Source organism: Homo sapiens, chromosome 3 (assembly GCF_000001405.40).
Source record: "Homo sapiens chromosome 3, GRCh38.p14 Primary Assembly".
NCBI classification, from domain to species: Eukaryota; Metazoa; Chordata; class Mammalia; order Primates; family Hominidae; genus Homo; species Homo sapiens.
Window position 1 is genome coordinate 138292673 of NC_000003.12, and position 19039 is coordinate 138311711.

Below are 19039 nucleotides of genomic sequence, written 5' to 3' on the forward strand. Positions count from 1 at the left end.
GTTCTTGTTTGGGTATGCCAGCGTTAAGATGCATATTAGATATCCAAGGGACTTGGAAGAGCAGGGCTATAAATCTGAATGGTATTTAAAGCCATGGAGCTGGATGAAGTCTCTTAGAGCAAGTAAAAAGAGAGAAAGGAGGACTAAGGACCAAGATCTAGAGTCCCTCCAGCATTTAGGCAGTGATGAGAAAGATGCAGCAAAGGAGCAGAAGGAACAGCTAGTGAGGCAGGCAGAGACTCAGGCGCATAAGGTGTCCAGAAAACAAAGGAAAAAGATGCCTGGACGGTGGCCGTTTATCCTTCAAAACTCATATCAGGTTGCTATGTCCTCCAAAAAGCCTTGCCTGACCCACTCTCCACCCTCCCCTCCAGGCTTTGCCAGGGATGCCTTTTGTGCTCCTGTAGCATCTGTAGAACACGTCACACTGTGTCTTGGCTGTCAGGTTGTCTGCTCCACTGAAGGGGAGAGGAACTTAACTAACTCCTCTGAAGTAAATGGCTCTTCCAGATTGTGAAGCACACAGGACAGGCTAGGCCTCTGCTTCCCCGAAGCTTACCATCCTGTAGGCTAAAGAAGAATAACTAGGCTGGGCGCGGTGGCTCACGCCTGTAATCCCAGCACTTTGGGAGGCCGAGGTAAGCGGATTATGAGGTCAGGAGTTCGAGACCAGCCTGGCCAACATAGTGAAACCCCGTCTCTACTAAACTCCAAAAATTAGCAGGGCATGGTAGTACGTGCCTGTAGTCCTAGCTACTGGGGAGGCTGAGGCAGGAGGATCACTTGAACCCAGGAGGCAGAGATCGTGGTGAGCCGAGATTGCACCAGTGCACTCCAGCCTAGGCAACAGAGCAAGACTGTCTCAAAAAAAAAAAGAAAAGAGGAAGAAGAACTAAAAAACTGCAGCCCAAGGCTGCTGGTCAGATGAGTGTACCATCAAAGTCAAGTCCATCCACATGCTGAAGGCTGGATCTGAGCTTGTACCTTGAGGACTGGAACCTCCACCTCCACAGCTGCTGGCATAAACAGTGGGCTCTGTCAGCCCATCTTTTCTACCTGAGAGCCAGGTTGTTCACTGGGGGTTTTATCTCATATTTATTCAGAAGTAAAAACAAATTTTACTTAAAATCATCTCAAGGATGACATAGGATGGTAGGATAGGCCTTACCAGCATCAAGTGGGATAGGTTTAGCCTGCTTGCTTAGACCACTCTGGTGCTGTTTTCACATAAGTTTTTAGCTCTTCTTAAACGTAAACCGTAAAATAATAGAATCAAGGTCTGAGCTACCCAACCTGAGTCCATCTAAGAAAGGGTGATCTTGCCTCCAAAACCATTCTTCTAAAAAGACTCCTTAGATAATGACAGTAGAAAGACAATAAAGGTACAGTCTCTGAGACCCAAAATAATCAAACCTAGCCAACCTCTGAATAAGATCCAGAAGGAGTTTGAATTTGGCAGATTTAAAGAGCAATACAGAATTTCAATCAAGACCCTCAGTTAAGTACAGTAAGGTCTATCACCTGAAGAATATATCTCTCAGGTTCCTTTTGTCGTTAAGACTTTGATCCTTTGACTTTCAGATGCTTACAGATGAGAAGCTATTGCTAACCAGCCCTCTCCACCCAGGCTTGGAGGGCTTCAGGGTTGCAGGGTCCCAGAGCTCCCGCCTCCATCAGAACTGTTCTTCTCAGCCTCTTTAAGTATTTGGGGAGTCAGGTGGATGGTCTGTGGCATCATTCATAAACTTGTTTCTGAAAATGTCCTTGTAGAACCCTACTTGCTCATAACTTGGAGATAATCTTTCTAGAGCTTTCTGTTCTGATGGATTGGACTATTCACAATATCATCTTTAGAGTCTTATATAATTGCAAGAATACACCTTAGTATACCACTTAAAAAACTGTTGTGTCCATTACTGCAGAAACTGCACTTGAATCCAGCTTATTGTATGCATAGTCTACTTGGTATTAGTTTGATCAGCTATTGTACCTGAACATTGTAGACTTTCTTTCCATAGCTTAGAAGAGACCATTGCTGAAACCTGACTTCCTAACTCCCACGATTACAGCCTCTTTAGAAACTTTACCATGTTTGTGATAGGAATAGTAAAGGAGGCCTCCTTGGGCCCACCTCAAAGGAGGCCACTTTTACAAGGATCAGGATAGATTAAGTCACTGTTCACATTATTTTTTGGTTTGTTTTTTGGGTTTTTTTGTTTGTTTTTTGTTCTTTTTTTTTTTTTGAGATGGAGTTTCACTCTTGTCGCACAGGCTGGAGTGCAATGGCACCATCTCAGCTCACTGCAACCTCCACCCACCAGGTTCAGGCCATTCTCCTGGCTCAGCCTCCGAAGTGGTTGGGATTACAGGTGCCCGCTGCCACACTCGGCTAATTTTTGTATTTTTGGTAGAAACAGGGTTTCACCGTGTTGGCCAGGCTGGTCTTGAATTCCTGACCTCAGGTGATCTGCCCTCCTCAGCCTCCCAAAGTGCTGGAATTACAGGTGTGAGCCACAGCACCCGGCCTACATTCTATCTTTTCCTTTCCACCTGGCCACCTTCTTCCCCCATCACCGTAACAACACACATCTCACATTGATCAGTTATGGTGTCATCAGGTGTGATGAGAAGAACAAGATGAAATTGTAGCCTTCTTCCACGGTTCTGAGGCATGTGAAGCATAAGACAGCCTCATCCCATGGGCTCTTGGCCCCTTCCATGCACCTTCTAATCACCTCAACACCATTTCCTCGGTCAGTTTTCTTATTTGCTTCCCAGAACCCTAAGTGTTCTCCCTAGTGTTGTGCCTCACTGCATAAAACCTACATGGCAGTAAGAAAAAGTAAAGAATGTAAGACCTATCACAACTATATGCCAGTGACAAAAGAAAACATAGAATGTCAGCACATACCAGGGACTGTGGAATGTCACTGAGCTGCAGCAGGTTTAAGTGCAGGAACAGCCCTCTGAGAGATCCACAGGAAGAAGAATATAGCCAGAGTAGATTTCAGGTGTCTACCCACTGCAGATCTCTTCCCCTTAAGGTAGGTGCCCACCTGGGCTCACCCCAATTCCCTCTGGAGATTTACTTTTTTAGACTTCCCCAGCTATCATCATTGAACCATAGGGTTTTTTACCCCAATTACAATTCTGAGATGATGGCTAACAGGAATTTTGTGATTTCAGGGCAAAGATGGCACTGCAGCAGTACCTGGCATGATGGGAGTGCCCCTGGGCACCTGCGAGCATCCCACCTCCTTGTTTAAGGAAGTACAGGAACCAGCCTCATTTGATTCCTTCTATTTGCACAAGTCACCTTGGACTGCAGGGAGCTGTTTTGCAAAAGCAGTTTAGTAGGCTTAGATCTCAAATTCATCTTGAGAACATTTTTTTGAGGTAGTAATTTCCTCAGAAGACTCTTGTGTTTTGTTTTGGTTTTTTTTTCTGAGCTACTCGGACTCTTTATTAGAACAATCAATCATTTTCCTTTGGACCTACAATTTTTGCCTATGCTGCAGCCACTTTGTGAGTGAGAATGAATATGTCTGTGTGAACACACAGGCATGCGTGTGTATGTGCACGTACATGGGCCAGAATGAATGGATGTGTGTGTGTGAGGGATACCTCAGATTTTTCTTTTCTTATTTTGTGTGAAAATCTCTTTTCTACAGATTTTCCAGGGTTTAAGCATTGCTTGCTGTATAAAAAACTTTACTGAATTATATACAGTTTGAATGAAATGTTATTTTAAAAACAAAACAATTGTTAAGTGTTCCATAAAGGTTATGTTGAATTTTGGTCAGATGAATATTTGTAAGTAAAAAATATATGCATTTCTGAACCTCAACTTACATAGATTTTCTTTATATAAAAAAAAAGAAAAAAAAAGAAAAAGTTGGCTATAGTTGGCCTGATTAACAGGCACTATACATGGTGCTGTGCAAAATAGTAAGCTAGCATCTTACTGCCGTCAATATTAGCAGGTACAGAGCCTTTTTTCATCCTAATTCAGTAAGTTCTCAGGCTTCCAAGTCAAATGGAGAAGTAAAGTGAGGCAACAGATTCACCATAGGCTTTTTGAAGCATCAAAGGGAAATATAACTACTGATAGTGAAAGCCCAGCCATGACCCAGATGGGCTTACCCTTGACAGGAACTGGGGACCAAGAGCCTCCCAATTGCCCTAACTCCTGTCATTGGTATTAGCAATATCTGGCCAGATTTAGAACCAGTCATGGAAACTTGTGCTCAAACTAAAAGTAGGTCATCACTTCCCAGAAACAGAATACCTTGTGCTTCCTGAAACAGCATATATCACTGTGAAACTAAAGAATATTCTACAGACACCCCTGTAGAAAGAAACAAAGAACAGGATAGTTTAGAAAGCTTTCTGTTAGCTGTATTCAGCAAATTTCATACTAGTTGCTCAGGACTGCTAGTTGGTATGCTTTTGTAAAACGAGATTGAAATTTAATAAAAGATGCAACTAAAATCTTTCCTGCATGAAGCTAAAAGCACTCAAGTTGAGAGAGGGGCAAGGGAATCTCCCCAGGATGACTGAAGATGACTTCTTTTTACAGCAAGTACTGTTAGCCTTTCTGCACCCCTTAGCTTGGCCCCTGCTCCAACTTCTGGGTCAGCAGCAAGGTGAACTCAACAGAAGTTGCTCTTGACTGTTTGAAGGTAGAAGCAGCCTACCTTTTCTCTTTGCTAAAAGAAGGTCAAAGGCTTCGCAACCAGGATGCAAGGTCTGCGGTCCAGAAGCTTGCGGTGAGTGTGTGCCACTGATGGAGCTCCAAGCCCACCCACCAGCCACTCCTGATGGGGTTGCTCACACTGCAGCTGCCCTATCACCACCCTGCACGTTCCTTGGAAGATTTAAATGTTTGGTTGCAAATGAATGTTTTAAAAATGTATTTAATGCAATTTTTCCTGCTCTCAACATGACCACCCAAGATTCAAACACAGAGACTTCCAAGTTACTATTTTTTCAGAACATCACCGATTTTAAAATCTGTCACAACAGGACTTGGTTTTGTGCAGATATCAGAGTGCTAATGTGAGAAACCCAGTTAAAAGAAAACTTAGTTTATTGGGAAGAAAGCCTCAGGCCCACTCGTTTCTAGAACTGTGAAAATATCCTTGGTTGGCATTTTTAACACAAAACACTATAGTGTTGGTATTAAATAGTACTAGGTAAATATAAAGAAACCAATAATGAATTGCTGAGACAATCTTGAACCCAAATAGCATTAGAAAGCTGAAGGCCCAATGAAATAACACTTTCACACTTAAACTCTGTGGATAAATTTTGCCTGTGGGTATAAACAGATGGTCAAATTAAAAATGCTTTACTATAATTAACTTTTCTGATTTGAATGAAGGGAAATGTATTTATTGAAACAAAGCTGTTTGCTGCTTTATGCAGGTGCAGTGTTCAGTCAGCAAGGAAGTGGGAAGAGTGGACATGGTATTGTGTCTACACCCAAGTTCTTAACTAAGCTTCTCGCTCTAATACTGCATTCTGTTTCTCCTTTTGTGCCCTGATTGTAATCCAAAATTTATGAACTAGAAAAGAATGTCCAATTTAATAAGTTGCATTTTTTTTTCTTTAAGCACTTTATTCAGAACAATACATGTTCTTCTGGTAGTGTTTGGATAATATGATTTTAACACATGCTAATAAAAGCCAAGAAAAATCATGGCAACTTCTAAAAAGGAGTCTGTTTTCCAAATGTCTAGAACATTAGGAAACATCAGAAGATAATGTGTACACGCTTTTGGAACCTGTGATTCTTGGTAAATGAAGGGCTGGGAAGTGGCTTTGCATTTCAGAGTGGGACCCAGTGCCTTAAGGTAAGTGTGGTTCCCAGAGGCATCTGCAGCAGTCTGGGGACCCCTCTCTTTTTGGCCTCCTTCTGAAGGCCAGCAGACCCTTCACAGGTGGCCACTCCCAGCCACAAGATATCCCATCCCCAATATCATGTCCACCCCCTCCATCCTCTTCTCCTTAGGTATGCCCCATCTCCACTACCACCAGCTTGCATCTCCACTACCACAGTATGCAAGAGCTTGCTATCCCTCTGCAAGGACACACAGGTGCTCTTCGTCTACTACGCACTGCCACCTTTTCCCATCTCTGAATTGTAGGCACATCTCCTATCTCAAGGCCTCACTGGAAACAAAGCCAAGGACACCTGCGCCAGAGTGGCGGGAGGATGATGAGGTGGCTAGCAAGAGAGGGAATAATCATGGTGGGAACCTCTGAGAGGACCCAAGGTAAGGCGAAGAGAGTAGGAGCAGGGCCAAGCAGGCCCCTGTTTCCCATAACTACCACAGGAAAACTTGGAAGTGAGGTCTAAGGAGGGAAGGGGGACTCCCACCCCAGATCTTGATGGAGGGCTGACAGAACGGTTCCAATTTCTTGCCACCTGGGGTAGGAACTGGTGCTGTCCCCATCCTGCCCCTTGCCTGTTTACTGGGCAGAGAGGCACATGTTTATTTCCAGCATGAGAGAAGGTCCAGGATCTGGCTTTAGGGAAGGCTGAGGGAACCCCCCAAGGGCCACTGAGTGGACTACTAAGCCACCTTTTCTCTATCTCTGCAGCCCCTGGCTCCTGGCTTTGGCAAGCAATCTGCCCTCAGGCTGAGTGGAGGTCCAGAGCCAGTCCTTAAAACCACCCTCCTTGACTTCATGGAGCCCAGCCTGCCCTCCTCGTCAGGCACTCACACCCAGGAGCCGAGGGATCTTAAAGCCAAAAACAGCACCCATCCTTTACTTCCATATTTGCTTCTGTTGTGTGAAACCAGGCCTAGGGTCTCCGCCAGTGAGTTCCATCCTCTGGGAGTGGGCTGATATTTGAGCCACTCTCGGGAACCCCCTTACACCCCATTCCCCTGTTCCTTATGCCATGAAACTTGTGGACTCTTAGAGATGCCCTGCAATGCTGAACCCACAGCATCCCTGAGTCACCAGTAATGGGAGGAAGGGGCATGTCACCATTCCTCCCACTCCTGCCCCATCACCTAGTGCCCCACTTTGCTTTACCACTGCCCTGCCCAGCTACTTCATCCATCACTGACACAAGAACACTCCCCGCCGACAGGCTCAGTTCCCCAACCTCATTTTCCCCTCTCTCCCCTGCTTTGGGAGGTCCTGGTGGCTCCATCTCTCATCTCACCAATGTTGGAAGATCCTTGGCTTCCCAGATTCTGGGGAGATCAGATGGCTGTCAGCTGGGTGCACCCCCTCCAAGTAGCTCATTCAGAGCCACACACACCTGTGGTGTGGAAGCCCAGGCATAGGGCTTCTCCAAGTCGTTTGCCACTCGTGAAGTGGGCACAGACCATATGGGCCCCACTCTTGAGCCCACTCCCAAAGGGAAGAGCACAGCCCCATGGTGGGCTGTGAGTCTGGGGATCTGGAATAGTGCATCCAGCTTCCTGACAGGTCCTGTCAGTGAGGGCTCTGTTGGGCACATTGAGATCCTGTACAGGTTCCGATGAGCACTGTGGACATGTGTGTTTCCATCCAGGGGTGGCACGAGGTCCTGGGAAGGACAGTGGCCTTAAACAGTAGGGCCTACTGAAGGTCACTGGCCTTGGTTCCCAACTGTGGGGACTGACTTATCCGTGTGTCCCCTGAGCACAGAGTGTGTTGTGGTAGGCTGACGAAGTGTGATGCACCCACGAAAATGTCCTCTGGGAGCTAACTGCCCATTTAAAGAACCTCAAGTCATGGACAAAACCAGCAAGGAGGAAGACGCTGGCATTTGCTTCGTGGTGTAGAAAATGGCCTTCTCCTCAGATAGGAAAAAGTATGCCGGCACTTGGCAAATTTACAAATAAAGTCGTTAGAGGGGGTGGCATTGTGTGCTAATAATTCCCAAGTGGTCATAATAGCTACTTTTTACTGAAATCCTGTGTCCCTCCAGGGAAGAACTGCAGAGGGATGGCTAAGCCAGGCAATTCAGTGGGAGCTGAAGGCAACCTGGCCCCACTAGGAGCTCTCAGCTTTTAAATTTAAGTGTCAGCCAGAATCAGAAGCCAGAGAAATGGGGGAGGGATGCGTCAAGAAAATTAGATGAACCCTGGTTCCAAATTTAATGTCTGAGCATTGCTTTATGAACATGCCCTGGTAATGGAGAACTGCAGATGGGGAAATCTGGCAGCATTAAATGACTGTTGGTGTGACTTGGGCAGGCAGTGTGAGGAAGCATTTGGAGCCTATTTATATCTGCCTCGGCATCAGTGTGCCTGGAAGTGTCATAGTCAATCTTGCTGCACTGTTTTCAAGCTCATGGTTACCAAATTAAGTTCTAAAATTGTTTAATTCATAAGGTAGATTTATTGTTGGGGAAACACCATCTCATATAACCCAGTATCCTCTGAGATGACACTTATATCTCACAACAGGATGTAATAACTGATGTTCAATTATTTTGTAAAATCCCAAAGACAGAGAAAAAAAACTGCGTTCTACATACTGTTTAATAAGGCAGAAAAGTATATACTATTCTCTTTCTTTACTTTTTTTTTTATTATTATTATTAAGATGGAGTCTCACTCTGTCACCCAGGCTGGAGTGCAGTGGCATGATCTCGGCTTACTGCAACCTTCACCTCCCGGGTTCAAGCGATTCTCATGCCTAAGCCACCCGAGTAGCTGGATGACAGGTGCACACCACCACGCCCGGCTAATTTTTTGTATTTTTAGTAGAGACAGGGTTTCACCATGTTGGCTAGGCTGGTGTCAAACTCCTAATCTCAGGTGATCCACCTGCCTCGGCCTCCCAAAGTGCTGGGATTACAGGTGTGAGTCACTGCGCCCAGCCATATTATTTTCATTGTCTACAAAAGACAGCTAAACCAAAAAGTATTGGTACTCAAAAGAGTAAGTTCCGATTCCGGAGGTCTGTTTTGTGCAGTAGACCCCTGGTCACGTGCTCTGGAAGAGCAGCACAGCCATCTCAATCCACATCCTCAGGAAAGCAAAGCGCCTCAGTGGGCCCCGCTGTTGCTTCAGCCTCACCGCCTGTGGGATGACAGATGTTTGGTAGGACTCCTGAAACAGCCCTGTCCCAGACCTTCTGTCCCACCCACCATCCACAAAGAAATAGGAAGTTAAAGGTCAGAGCAGGAGGGTCAGCAAAGAAGTCCTGATACGTGTTAGGGACCAGGAATTAAATAAATTAGAATGGATAACATTGAGCATTTAATTTGTGTCAGATGCCAGACCAAGAGCTTTACATCCTGTCTTTCATCTTCACAACAGCTCTATGATGAAGATTTTTATTATGAAGCTATTTGTGGTTATGACGAGTCTATCATTATCTCCATTTCACAGATGAGGAAACTGAGGCCCAGAAAATGTAAGTAACTTTTCAGAGGCTCTTCAGCTGGGGAATAGTGGAGCCAGGATTCAAACCCGGGATTGTCTATCACCTTGACTCCTGCCTTTTTTTAGCAGGAATAGTGCTAACTACAGTGGAGGCATATGCTGCTCCCCAAAGCTGAGAGACAGTGACATATCAGAATAAATGGGCAGAACAGCACCCCAGCCAGGCTGCCAGTGTCCAAAGGAGGCTGTGCACTTATTCCCAGGATGTGGTCTGCAGATAGCCCCTTTTCTTATCACCTGAGGCCAAAAAGTCAGTCTCATGATCTTCCAGCACTCCCAACAGCCCAGTGAGAACTTCCCAGCCACCTGCCACAGACTTGGCTCTGAGTTACAGCCATTTGCTTCCAATCACCACCCCCCATTCCCAAAAGCTTGAAGGTGCCCCACAACCCTGGACACATAAGGAAATGCATCATGGACTCTCTGAGGGCAGGTCCCAGAGGAAAGCTGGCCTGGAGTGTCAGTGGGTCTCTGATCCACATAGAGCCACACTTCCCAAGAGTTCCTGGCTCCCCAGCCTCTGTGGCACGCTCAGCTTGTTCCTCAGCTGGCAGTGGGAATAATTCTACTTCATAGAGCAGTGGCAAGTCCACCTATTTTGACTTGGCTGCATTTCAGATCTTGAGACCATGAGCATATCAAACATTTAGGCAAATATATTGATTAAAACCCAAACATTTAGACACACATTTCAGATGTGAATGTGACCTCCCGAGAATCCAACCCTCACATCCTTTGGGTTTTCCCAAAATAATCATCTCCCAGCCTCTTCCACTCATTTCATGCTCAAACCAGAGACATGTAATGCAGCAGTTCCACTGGTTGTGGGGTAGACTGAGTCACATGGGCTCCGGACCCCTTGGGGTTCTCACCCAGATTTGGAGGTGGCATTGCCACCTGGCATGCCTTTCCCAGAGGCTGTCCGAATGCTTCCCATGAAGGGAAGGTCCTAAACAACGGTCATGCATTGAAATGTGGTGTTGAGGGAGATGAAGTCACAGCAGGCTCCAGGTTGAGGGCCCTTCCGTATAGCTGCGTTTCTCAGTGAGCCCTTAGGGGCTTAACATGGAGTGTGTGGAGCAGGTCTGGCCTCTGACTGGCTTTGAGGTAGGCTTTCAGAAAGTTAATGAAATTTTCCCAATGGTTTCCACAGGGAAATGCAAATAAAGTACTTTTTGTAACAAAAATATGACTCCAAGATAAGCAGCAAAAAATTTAATGAGGTATTAAAAAGCAACACTGTTGCTCTATGAGAACACAAAACAGTTTAGTATTGATAATCAAGTTATATAATGACCTGTATTTTCAGAACAGGACTGTATTAGGTTGAAGACTTAGTTACCAAAAATTATCAATCCCCCACACACTCAAGCACATAGTTACAAATTCCTTGTATCTATGATTTAATAAAGACCAAGTCTGCCTTGATGACTTACCCTGAGGGGCTTCTGTATCTTTGTCTGAAAATTTCAAACTGGGGAAGAGCAATGCCAGTTCTCTGTCAGCATCTTCTCTGTCCCGGCTTCCATGGACGGCATTGAAGGGCATTTCTGTGCCGTACTGAGCTCGGAGACTGGGAACATTGGCAAAATGTAAAAGAAACAATTGTTTCATTTGAAAAGAAATGTTTTGCTTTCTGGCAACATGATCACCGACTACCAATCAGCACCCTGCATTCCTGTGAAATTGATTTCTCTGCAGGAAATACCAAGAACAGCAGCAATGATAATAGCAGCTGGCATTTATTTGGTCATGGCAGTGTGCTGGGCACATAGCTGGGTACTTTACCTACACGATCCCATTACATTTTCGCCACAGCTCTATGAGGGAGTCTACTGTTACCCCCATTTTAAAGATGCATGATTAATGGTGTAAGCACAGGAGCTGCCATTTTTTCGATATTACTACCAAAGGCTAGCACCATACCAAGTGCTTGATAAAGTTGTGCATAGTTATCCTTGCAATAACCTCGTAAGATAATATTGCTATGATTTCCTGTGTGTCAAGCACTACTCGGTGAGATATATACATGTATGTATACACAATCCTGATGGATGCTCATATCCCCGTTTTACAGTTGAGAGAACTCAGGCTGAGAAGAGACTTGCAGTGACCTAAGATCTGAATCCTGAGCTGGCTTTCACTAGCCCAGCCTGCCTCATATATAAATGTTCCTGGTCCCCTACACCTACAAAGTACAACTGCAGTTCCTTGGCTTCTCTAATTTCTTTCCTGTTGTCTGGGCCTGTCAGCTTCAAAGGCCAAGGTAAAGTGGATTTGGATTGCTGGCGCCAAGCTAAATACTCCCAAGTCCAAGGAGCAGGCCAAGCAAGCCCAGTGCAATGTGCAGAACAAGGTACTCAGACTCCCGAGGGCCTCAGACACCCTGATGGGGAGTAGGTTTGGATGGCATTGAGACTACAGTGCAGATTCTCAGGCCCTGGCCCAGAGTCTCTGATTGACAGGCTTGAATGGGGCCCTAGAATCTGTATGTTCCTGGGAGTACCCTGTGGAATCCTCTGGCCGAAAAGAGAAAACAGCGACTGAGGAATGAATCCAGAAGCAGCCTTCAGAAGAGGACAGAGCAGGAAGAGGAAGCAGCTTACAGGAGGCCCTCAGCAAAGGCTGAGGACTGGAACAGAGCGGGAAGATGTCAGGGTCTCCCCAAATATATAATAGAGAGCCTGGCCATCAGAGAGTCCTCTGTGTTACCCATGATTCTAGGCTGAACACTGAGTGGGACTCAGCCTCCTGGGATGCAGGTTTTAAGATGGATGAAAGGACCACAGCTGGTGACATCACCTTTCTGGCTGCTCCCTCCTGGCCACATTGGGGTCACGGGGGCCCATGACGGTTCGCCAGGTAGTGACCACGTCCTCGAAGCCCTCAGTCCTGGTGAGGATCAGGAGGTGGCTTGGTCCACTGCACATGTGATGTACCAGCTTCTCAAATGCCTCCTAGGCACAGGGAGGGAAAACAGTGACCAGGGCAGGAGCTGCTAGGGCCTGCAGAGGATCAGCGAGCCCATCTCACCCACGGAATGGGAGGGAGTTAGTGAGCAGCCTTGCTACCAGCCAGCATGCCCGTGGCCACTCAGCCACTGCACCCTGTCTCTGCCTGGCCACCTCTGCCTGCTGTGGAGGGTGTCAGGGATGGGTGGTAGTGATGACCTACCACACTCAGAACTCAGAATGACGAGACTTTTAAGTTGACTCATTTGGGAATAAACGTGAGATTATATAAATTAGGCAGAGACATTTAAAAGACCATATCTATGGAAATCGTGTGATGCTGGATAACCAAGGGCTGAAATATAGTTGGTACTTTTTTTCTTTTCCATGCAATGCCTCACAACCCTTCCTCCCTCTTCAAGTAACAGTACTCTGGTTTTCCTTTGGGGAACAGCCCTTACCCATTTCATTTGGTCCAAGTTTGACTGACAACCATGGGATGCCTATTCCCCAACACACACACACACCCCTGACCTGAGAGGAAGGGTTCTGACCCAAGCTAAGCCAAGAAGACTCCCAAGCAGGTGGGTTATCAGCAGAAGCAAATGGAAGGTAGTTAGATCTGAGTTATCCAATGGCAGTATCTAAAGTGATATGCTCGAGGCTTTGCTTCGAGATCCCTAGCTTCCTTTTGTCTCCAAGCCCTTCTCATTAAACTCTCCCTTCAATTCTGTGAGTTATGGACTTTCCTTCTAATAAATTCCTTAATTCATTTCTTAGAGAGAAAACCTTTTCTTTGCAACCAAAAAACTTTACCTGATACAGCCTATTGTCATTCTGAGAATAAATTCATGACCCACTTGCTGTTCCTATTTTGGTTCTTCATAATTTCTTCTGTCACAAACTGATATCAATCTATAAGCATAATGTTGGAGGAAGAGAAACGACAGTGTGTTGAACTTGTGGAAGTAGATGAGCTGACCTCTCCAGCTTTGTGTTGGTAGAAAAGTCGCACTTCTGCCTCTGTCATGGTTCTCTCTTCATTTGTTAGAATTTCAAACCCAGCTTCCTGAATCTGTAGAATATATATAAATATTCTAAAAGGGTAAATCAAGCCCAAATTCACATTGATTAATTAATTTAGTTGAAAGGTAAAAAATAAAGACAGGCAACATTAAAGGCTGTGGAGACACTGATCCCCACATTATCTGTCCCAATCAGATTTAACATTTTCATTTACTTGAATGGAACTTGAGCTACAACCCCTTAGAATTCATCTTTCTGCACTAAGATATCACTGCCCAGTGCCCCATCCCTGTTTATCCACAAAAGAGGACACAAGGACAGTGGTGCATGGTAAGTGTTGTCTCTCTTACCTTCATGATAATCTCATCAGTCTTTCCATGGGCCACTGCATCTGGTTTAATGATGGCCAAGGTACAGGTCCTCTCTGATGAAACTAAGCCAAAAAATGGTGCTGTCAGATGCTGATGTTTGAGGCTCCTGAGAGGCCATCCACAAAAAACAATGCAACCTCTACACAAGGCTCCATTGCACCAAGTGCCAGGCACAGGCTTGGGCTCTCAGAGTTCCCTTCCCTGGCCTCTTAGTTTTGCCCCTGCAAACCTGGACTCTGGTGGATGCACCAGTCTGACTCCAGACCTGAGGCCAGACCTCAACCTCCATCTTGCTGCAAGGAACAGAGACTCAGAGACTGGCTCAATGAACCTGGGCAGGTGGCAGAGGAGGAACATGGGAGAAGGGATTGCTCAAAGACTGCTTGGGACCAGAAATCCAGAAACAACTGAATTGAGTTGGCCTGGGGAGTGGGAAGAAGAGGAGGTATAGGAGAAAGTGAGAGGGGGGCCTGGAGCATGGGCAATACAGGCCTGGCTGCCCTCACCCTCTCATGATTCCCAGCACTCTACCTGCTGTCTGCCACGTGCTCTCCTTTCACTCTACTGGCTCCTGTGCCTCTGATACTTTTTCCCTTTCCTGCCATGTGGCTAAAAATGGCTCCTCCAGGCCCTGAGTCTGCATGATGTTCCATGACTTCTCAGCTCCAGCACATACTACCAGATTGCAGTTTCAGTAGTCTGTCTCCGTTCAAGTTCTCCTGAGAGAAGCCAGATTGCCCCACTCATTGGTTTTAGCCAAGGTACCAGCCCTAGCTCACTGGCCAGTCTGCTGATTGACTGCCCTTGAATAAGCATCCACCAGTCCAATTAGCTATGACAATGAGGGAGGTGCCACAGGATCAGAGTCCACTGCTTAGTCCCACAGGAGCTGTAGGGAGGTCTGTGTCTAGTCCATGAGCCCATCTCCATTGTCCTCCTGCTTATATTATATAAACTTGTCTTGGATGAGTTATCTACACTCTCCACAGAATCATCATTCTCCCATCACCTATTTTGTTTCTCAGCTTTTACATTGGTTGTGTTGAAATGAAACAAGACAATATCTACATTTAACGAGGGCTTCTACTCTGAAAAATCTCAAAAACATGTACTGCAAATGTATAAATCATTTCAAGCAACAAATCTGTTATTTCTTTCTGACATTACTATTTCTAACGTGTTATGAATATTTAGATTTTAAGAGAGTTTTACAATAAATTCCATTATAAATTGATTAGTGAGATCACCTAGAGGTAGAGGAAGAAGAAAAGAGACCAAAGCAGGGGCCTGGGGTGCTCCAGGTTAAAAGGGCAGCACAAGAAAAGAAGCCAATGAAGGAGAAACTGAGGAGAGGCCAGAGACATAGAAGGAAAACAAGAAAAGTTGTGACATCTCAGAAACCGGAAGAGAAGGTTTTGAGAAGGAAGACATTGTGAACATCATCCCATTCTGCAGAAAAATCCCATAAGATATGAACTGGTAACTACCTGTTGGTGCCACCAATGAGCACCATTTCAGGGAGTAGTGAGCGCAGAGGCCAGATTGCTGCAGGTCGGGGCATGAATGGAAAGTGAAGGTGGCCTAGAGTGTGGACAAAGGAAGCTTGGCTGTGAATAAGAGGAAGGCTAAGGAAGGGTAAGGGCGGTATCTTAGATGGTTTTCTACGTGGGAGAGACTTGATTTGGGAGGAAATCATGGAGGAGGGAAGAAAGAGGAGATGATGCAACAGGGGAGCAACAAATGTCTCCTGCAGAATCACAATCACTGATTTTCTCTTCACCCTTGAAGTTTTGCTGTCCTAAACTGTGCCTTCTCCGTTGTTAGAATCCAACTCAAACAATTCTTATTCTCCACACATGTAAAAACAGCCTATTTCAAGCAATAATTTAAAAAATCTTCCTCCTCTTATCAACACAGTTCCTGAGCCTAATTCTGGTTTTCCCTCATGTCTCAGTTACCACCAAGAGACACCGTCCCAGCAACAGCCTTCCTAACTGTTAGCTTTTCTTCATTCTGTCAGGTCAAGTTGTTCTCATATGAAGGGTTCAAGAAGTACTGTGATACCCAGGAGTGTAAAATCTGCAAGTTAATATTTGGGGAACACAGGAAAGAGGTTGTAGGGCTCTGGGAAGGAAAGGTTTTCTAACATTTAAGAAAGAGGTGAAAAAAGAAGCTTGAGCTTTTTTAAAAAGTTCAAATAAGAACTAAGGAAATAACAGCATCATTGCTTTCGATTATTGGTGTTGCTACCCTCCATTTTATTACATGCAGCTTTTTTGATGCCTGGTAATTGCGATGAAAGTCACACGTGTTATATTTGAACATAAAATGCTGTGAAATGTGCCCAAAATGCTGATAAAGATCCAAAAAGATATTTGACACAGTATGTTTGAAGTCAAGTGACTGGAGACAAAATATTTTATGGTTAAGCTTCCCAGAGTCTTTCCAATTTATCTAGCAACAGGCTTCTCAATAGAAACTATATAGGCCAGGAGGCAGTGGAATGACATTTCCAAAATACTGAAAGAAAAAAAAAAAAAAAAAAAAAAAACTGTCATCCAAGAATACTGTACCCAGCAAAGCTATCCTTCAAATATGAAGGCAGGCCAGGCATGGTGGCCCAGCACTTTGGGAGGCTGAGGTGGGCAGATCACCTGACATCAGGGGTTCAAGACCAGCCTGACCAACAGGGCAAAACCCTGTTTCTACTAAAAATACAAAAAAAAAATTAGCTAGGTGTGGTGGCACATGCCTGTAATCCCAGCTACTGGGGAGGCTGAGGCAGCAGGAGAATCACTTGAACCCAGGAGGCAGAGGTTGCAGTGAGCCAAGATTGTGCCACTGCACTTCAGCCTGGTTGACAGAGTGAGACTTCATCTCAAACAAAAAAAAAAAAAGAAGGAATGCCTAAGGAAATCTTTAATCTGAAAGAAAAAAATACTAATATGCAAAAAGAAGACATTTGAGGTATAAAACCCACTGTTGGCTGGGCACAGTGGCTCACGCCTATAATCCCAGCATTTTGGGAGGCCAAGGCAAGTGGATCACTCGAGGCTAGGAGATCAAGACCAACCTGGCCAACATGGTGAAACCCTGTCTCTACTAAAAATACAAAAATTAGTTGGGCATGGTGGCACACGCCTGTAATCCCAGCTACCCAGGAGGCTGAGGCATGAGAATCACCTGAGCCCAGGAGGCGGAGGTTGCAGTAAGCTAAAATCGCACCATTGCACTCCAGCCTGGGTGACAGAACTAGAGTGAGCCAAGATCATGCCACTGCACTCCAGCCTGGGTGACAGAGCTAGACTGTCTCAAAAGAAAAAAAAAAGCCAGATGCAGTGGCTCATGCCTGTAATCCCAAGACTTTGGGAGGCCAAGGCAGGCAGATCACCTGAGGTCGGGAGTTCCAGACCAGCCTGACCAACATGGAGAAACCCCATCTCTACTAAAAATACAAAATTAGCCAGGTGTGGTGGTCCATGCCTGTAATCCCAGCTAATTGGGAGGCTGAGGCAGGAGAATCGCTTGAACCCAGGAGGTGGAGGTTGCAGTGAGCCAAGATCATGCTAGCCTGGGCGACGAGTGAAACTCCATCTCAAAAAAAAAAAAGAAAAGAAACCAAGACCCAACTATATGCTGCCTACAAGAAACCCACTTTACCTATAAAGACACATAGACTGAAAGTGAAGGCATGGAAAAAGATATTCATTGCAAGTGGAAACCAAAAGAGAGCAAGAGAAAATATACTTAGAGAAGGTCACTATATAATGATAAAGGAGTCAGTTCATCAAGAGTAACAATTATAAATATCTACCCAACACCAGAACACTCAAGTATATAAAACAAACATTAATAGATCTAAAGGGAAAGATAGACTGCAATACAGTAATACAATACTACAATACATAGGGGACTTCAACACCCTACTGTTAGTGATGGACAGATCATTCAGGCAGAAGACAAACGTCATAGTCAAACTGCATACTAGACCAAACAGACCTAACTGATATTTACAGAAGATTTCACCCAACTGCTACAGAAAAGACATTATTTTCATCAGCATGTGGAATATTCTCCAGAATAGAGCAAATTATAAGCCACAAAACTAGTCACAACAAATTTAAAAAAGCAGAAATCATATATATCTTTTCTGACCACAGTGAAATAAAATTAGAAATCAATAGTAAGAGGAACCTCAGAAACTACACAAACACATGAAAATTAGACAACATACTCATGAACAACAAATGCATCAGAGAATAAATTAAAAAGGGAAATTTTTAATTTCTTGAAACAAATGAAAACGGAAATACACATCCAAAATCTACAGGATACAGTAAAAGGAGTAATACAGTAAAGGGGAAGTTTGTAGCAATAAATGCTTACATCAAAAAACGTAGGAAGACTTCAAATAACCGAATGGATGCACCCAAATGCGCTAAAAAAGCAATAACCAAACCCCCAATTAGTACTAGGAAGCAAATAATAAAGATCAGAGCAGAAATAAATGAAATTGAGCCTAAAAAATACAGAAGATCAATGAAGCAAAAAGTTGATTTTTTGAAAAGATAAAATCAACGAAACTTTAGCTAGACTAAGAAAAAGAGATGACCCAAATAAAATCAGAAAGAAAATGGAGACATAACAACTGGAAACCACAGAAATATAAAGAATCATTAGACACTGTTATGAACAACTATACACCAACAAATTTGAAAACCTAAAAGAAATAGATAAATTCCTGGATATATGCAGTCTACCAAGATTGAACCATGAAGAAATAGAAAACCTCAACAAACCAATAACAAATAACAAGATCACAACTGTAATAAAAAGTCTTCTGCCAAAGAAAATCTCAGGACCTGATGGCTTCAATTCTAAATTCTACCAAACATTTAAAGAATAACTAATACCAATTATACTCAAACTCTTCAAAAAAATTTGAAGAGGAGGGGAAACTTCCAAACTCATTCTGTGAGGCCAGAATTGCCCTGATAGCAAAACCAGACAAGGACACAACAAAACGAGAAAACCAGGCCAATATCCTTGAAGAACATAGATGAAAAAGTCCTAAACAAAATACTAACAAACCAACTTCAACAACACATCAAAAAGATCATTCACTATGTGGGATTCATCCCAGGGATGTAAAAAGGGTTCATCATATGTAAATCAATAAATGTGATTCATCAAATCATTAACAGAACCAAGAACAAAAACCATATAATCATTCCAATAGATGCTGAAAAACCATTCAATAAAATTTGAATTCCCTTTATGATAAAAAACCTTC

General features: G+C 44.3%; 2 protein-coding genes across 21 annotated transcripts in view; one reads left to right on the forward strand and one right to left on the reverse strand.

Moving 5' to 3' along the window:
• The window catches only part of ARMC8 (armadillo repeat containing 8), a 111142-nt gene extending 105425 nt beyond the window's left edge, over window positions 1-5717 (forward strand). For 7 of the 11 annotated variants that reach the window (XM_006713565.3, XM_024453441.2, XM_011512632.2 and 4 more), the window contains one exon: window positions 3187-5717. In XM_006713565.3, coding sequence (XP_006713628.1) covers window positions 3187-3220 — 34 coding nt within the window. In that variant the 3' untranslated portion in view covers window positions 3221-5717. The remainder of the gene's footprint in view (window positions 1-3186) is intronic. The other 4 variants (NM_001363941.2, NM_015396.6, NM_001267042.3 and 1 more) reach the window with 1 other exon arrangement.
• NME9 (NME/NM23 family member 9) overlaps window positions 1-19039 on the reverse strand; it is a 68416-nt gene that overhangs the window by 31237 nt on the left and 18140 nt on the right. For 6 of the 10 annotated variants that reach the window (NM_001349024.2, NM_001349023.2, NM_001349020.2 and 3 more), the window contains 5 exons: window positions 13726-13808; window positions 13332-13424; window positions 12201-12355; window positions 10835-10971; window positions 8327-9032 (listed from right to left, as the gene is read on the reverse strand). In NM_001349024.2, the coding sequence (NP_001335953.1) occupies window positions 8968-9032; window positions 10835-10971; window positions 12201-12355; window positions 13332-13424; window positions 13726-13808 (533 nt within the window). In that variant the 3' untranslated portion in view covers window positions 8327-8967. Of the gene's footprint in view, window positions 1-8326; window positions 9033-10834; window positions 10972-12200; window positions 12356-13165; window positions 13425-13725; window positions 13809-19039 lie in introns of those variants that run through there. The other 4 variants (NM_178130.4, NM_001349021.2, XM_047448078.1 and 1 more) reach the window with 2 other exon arrangements.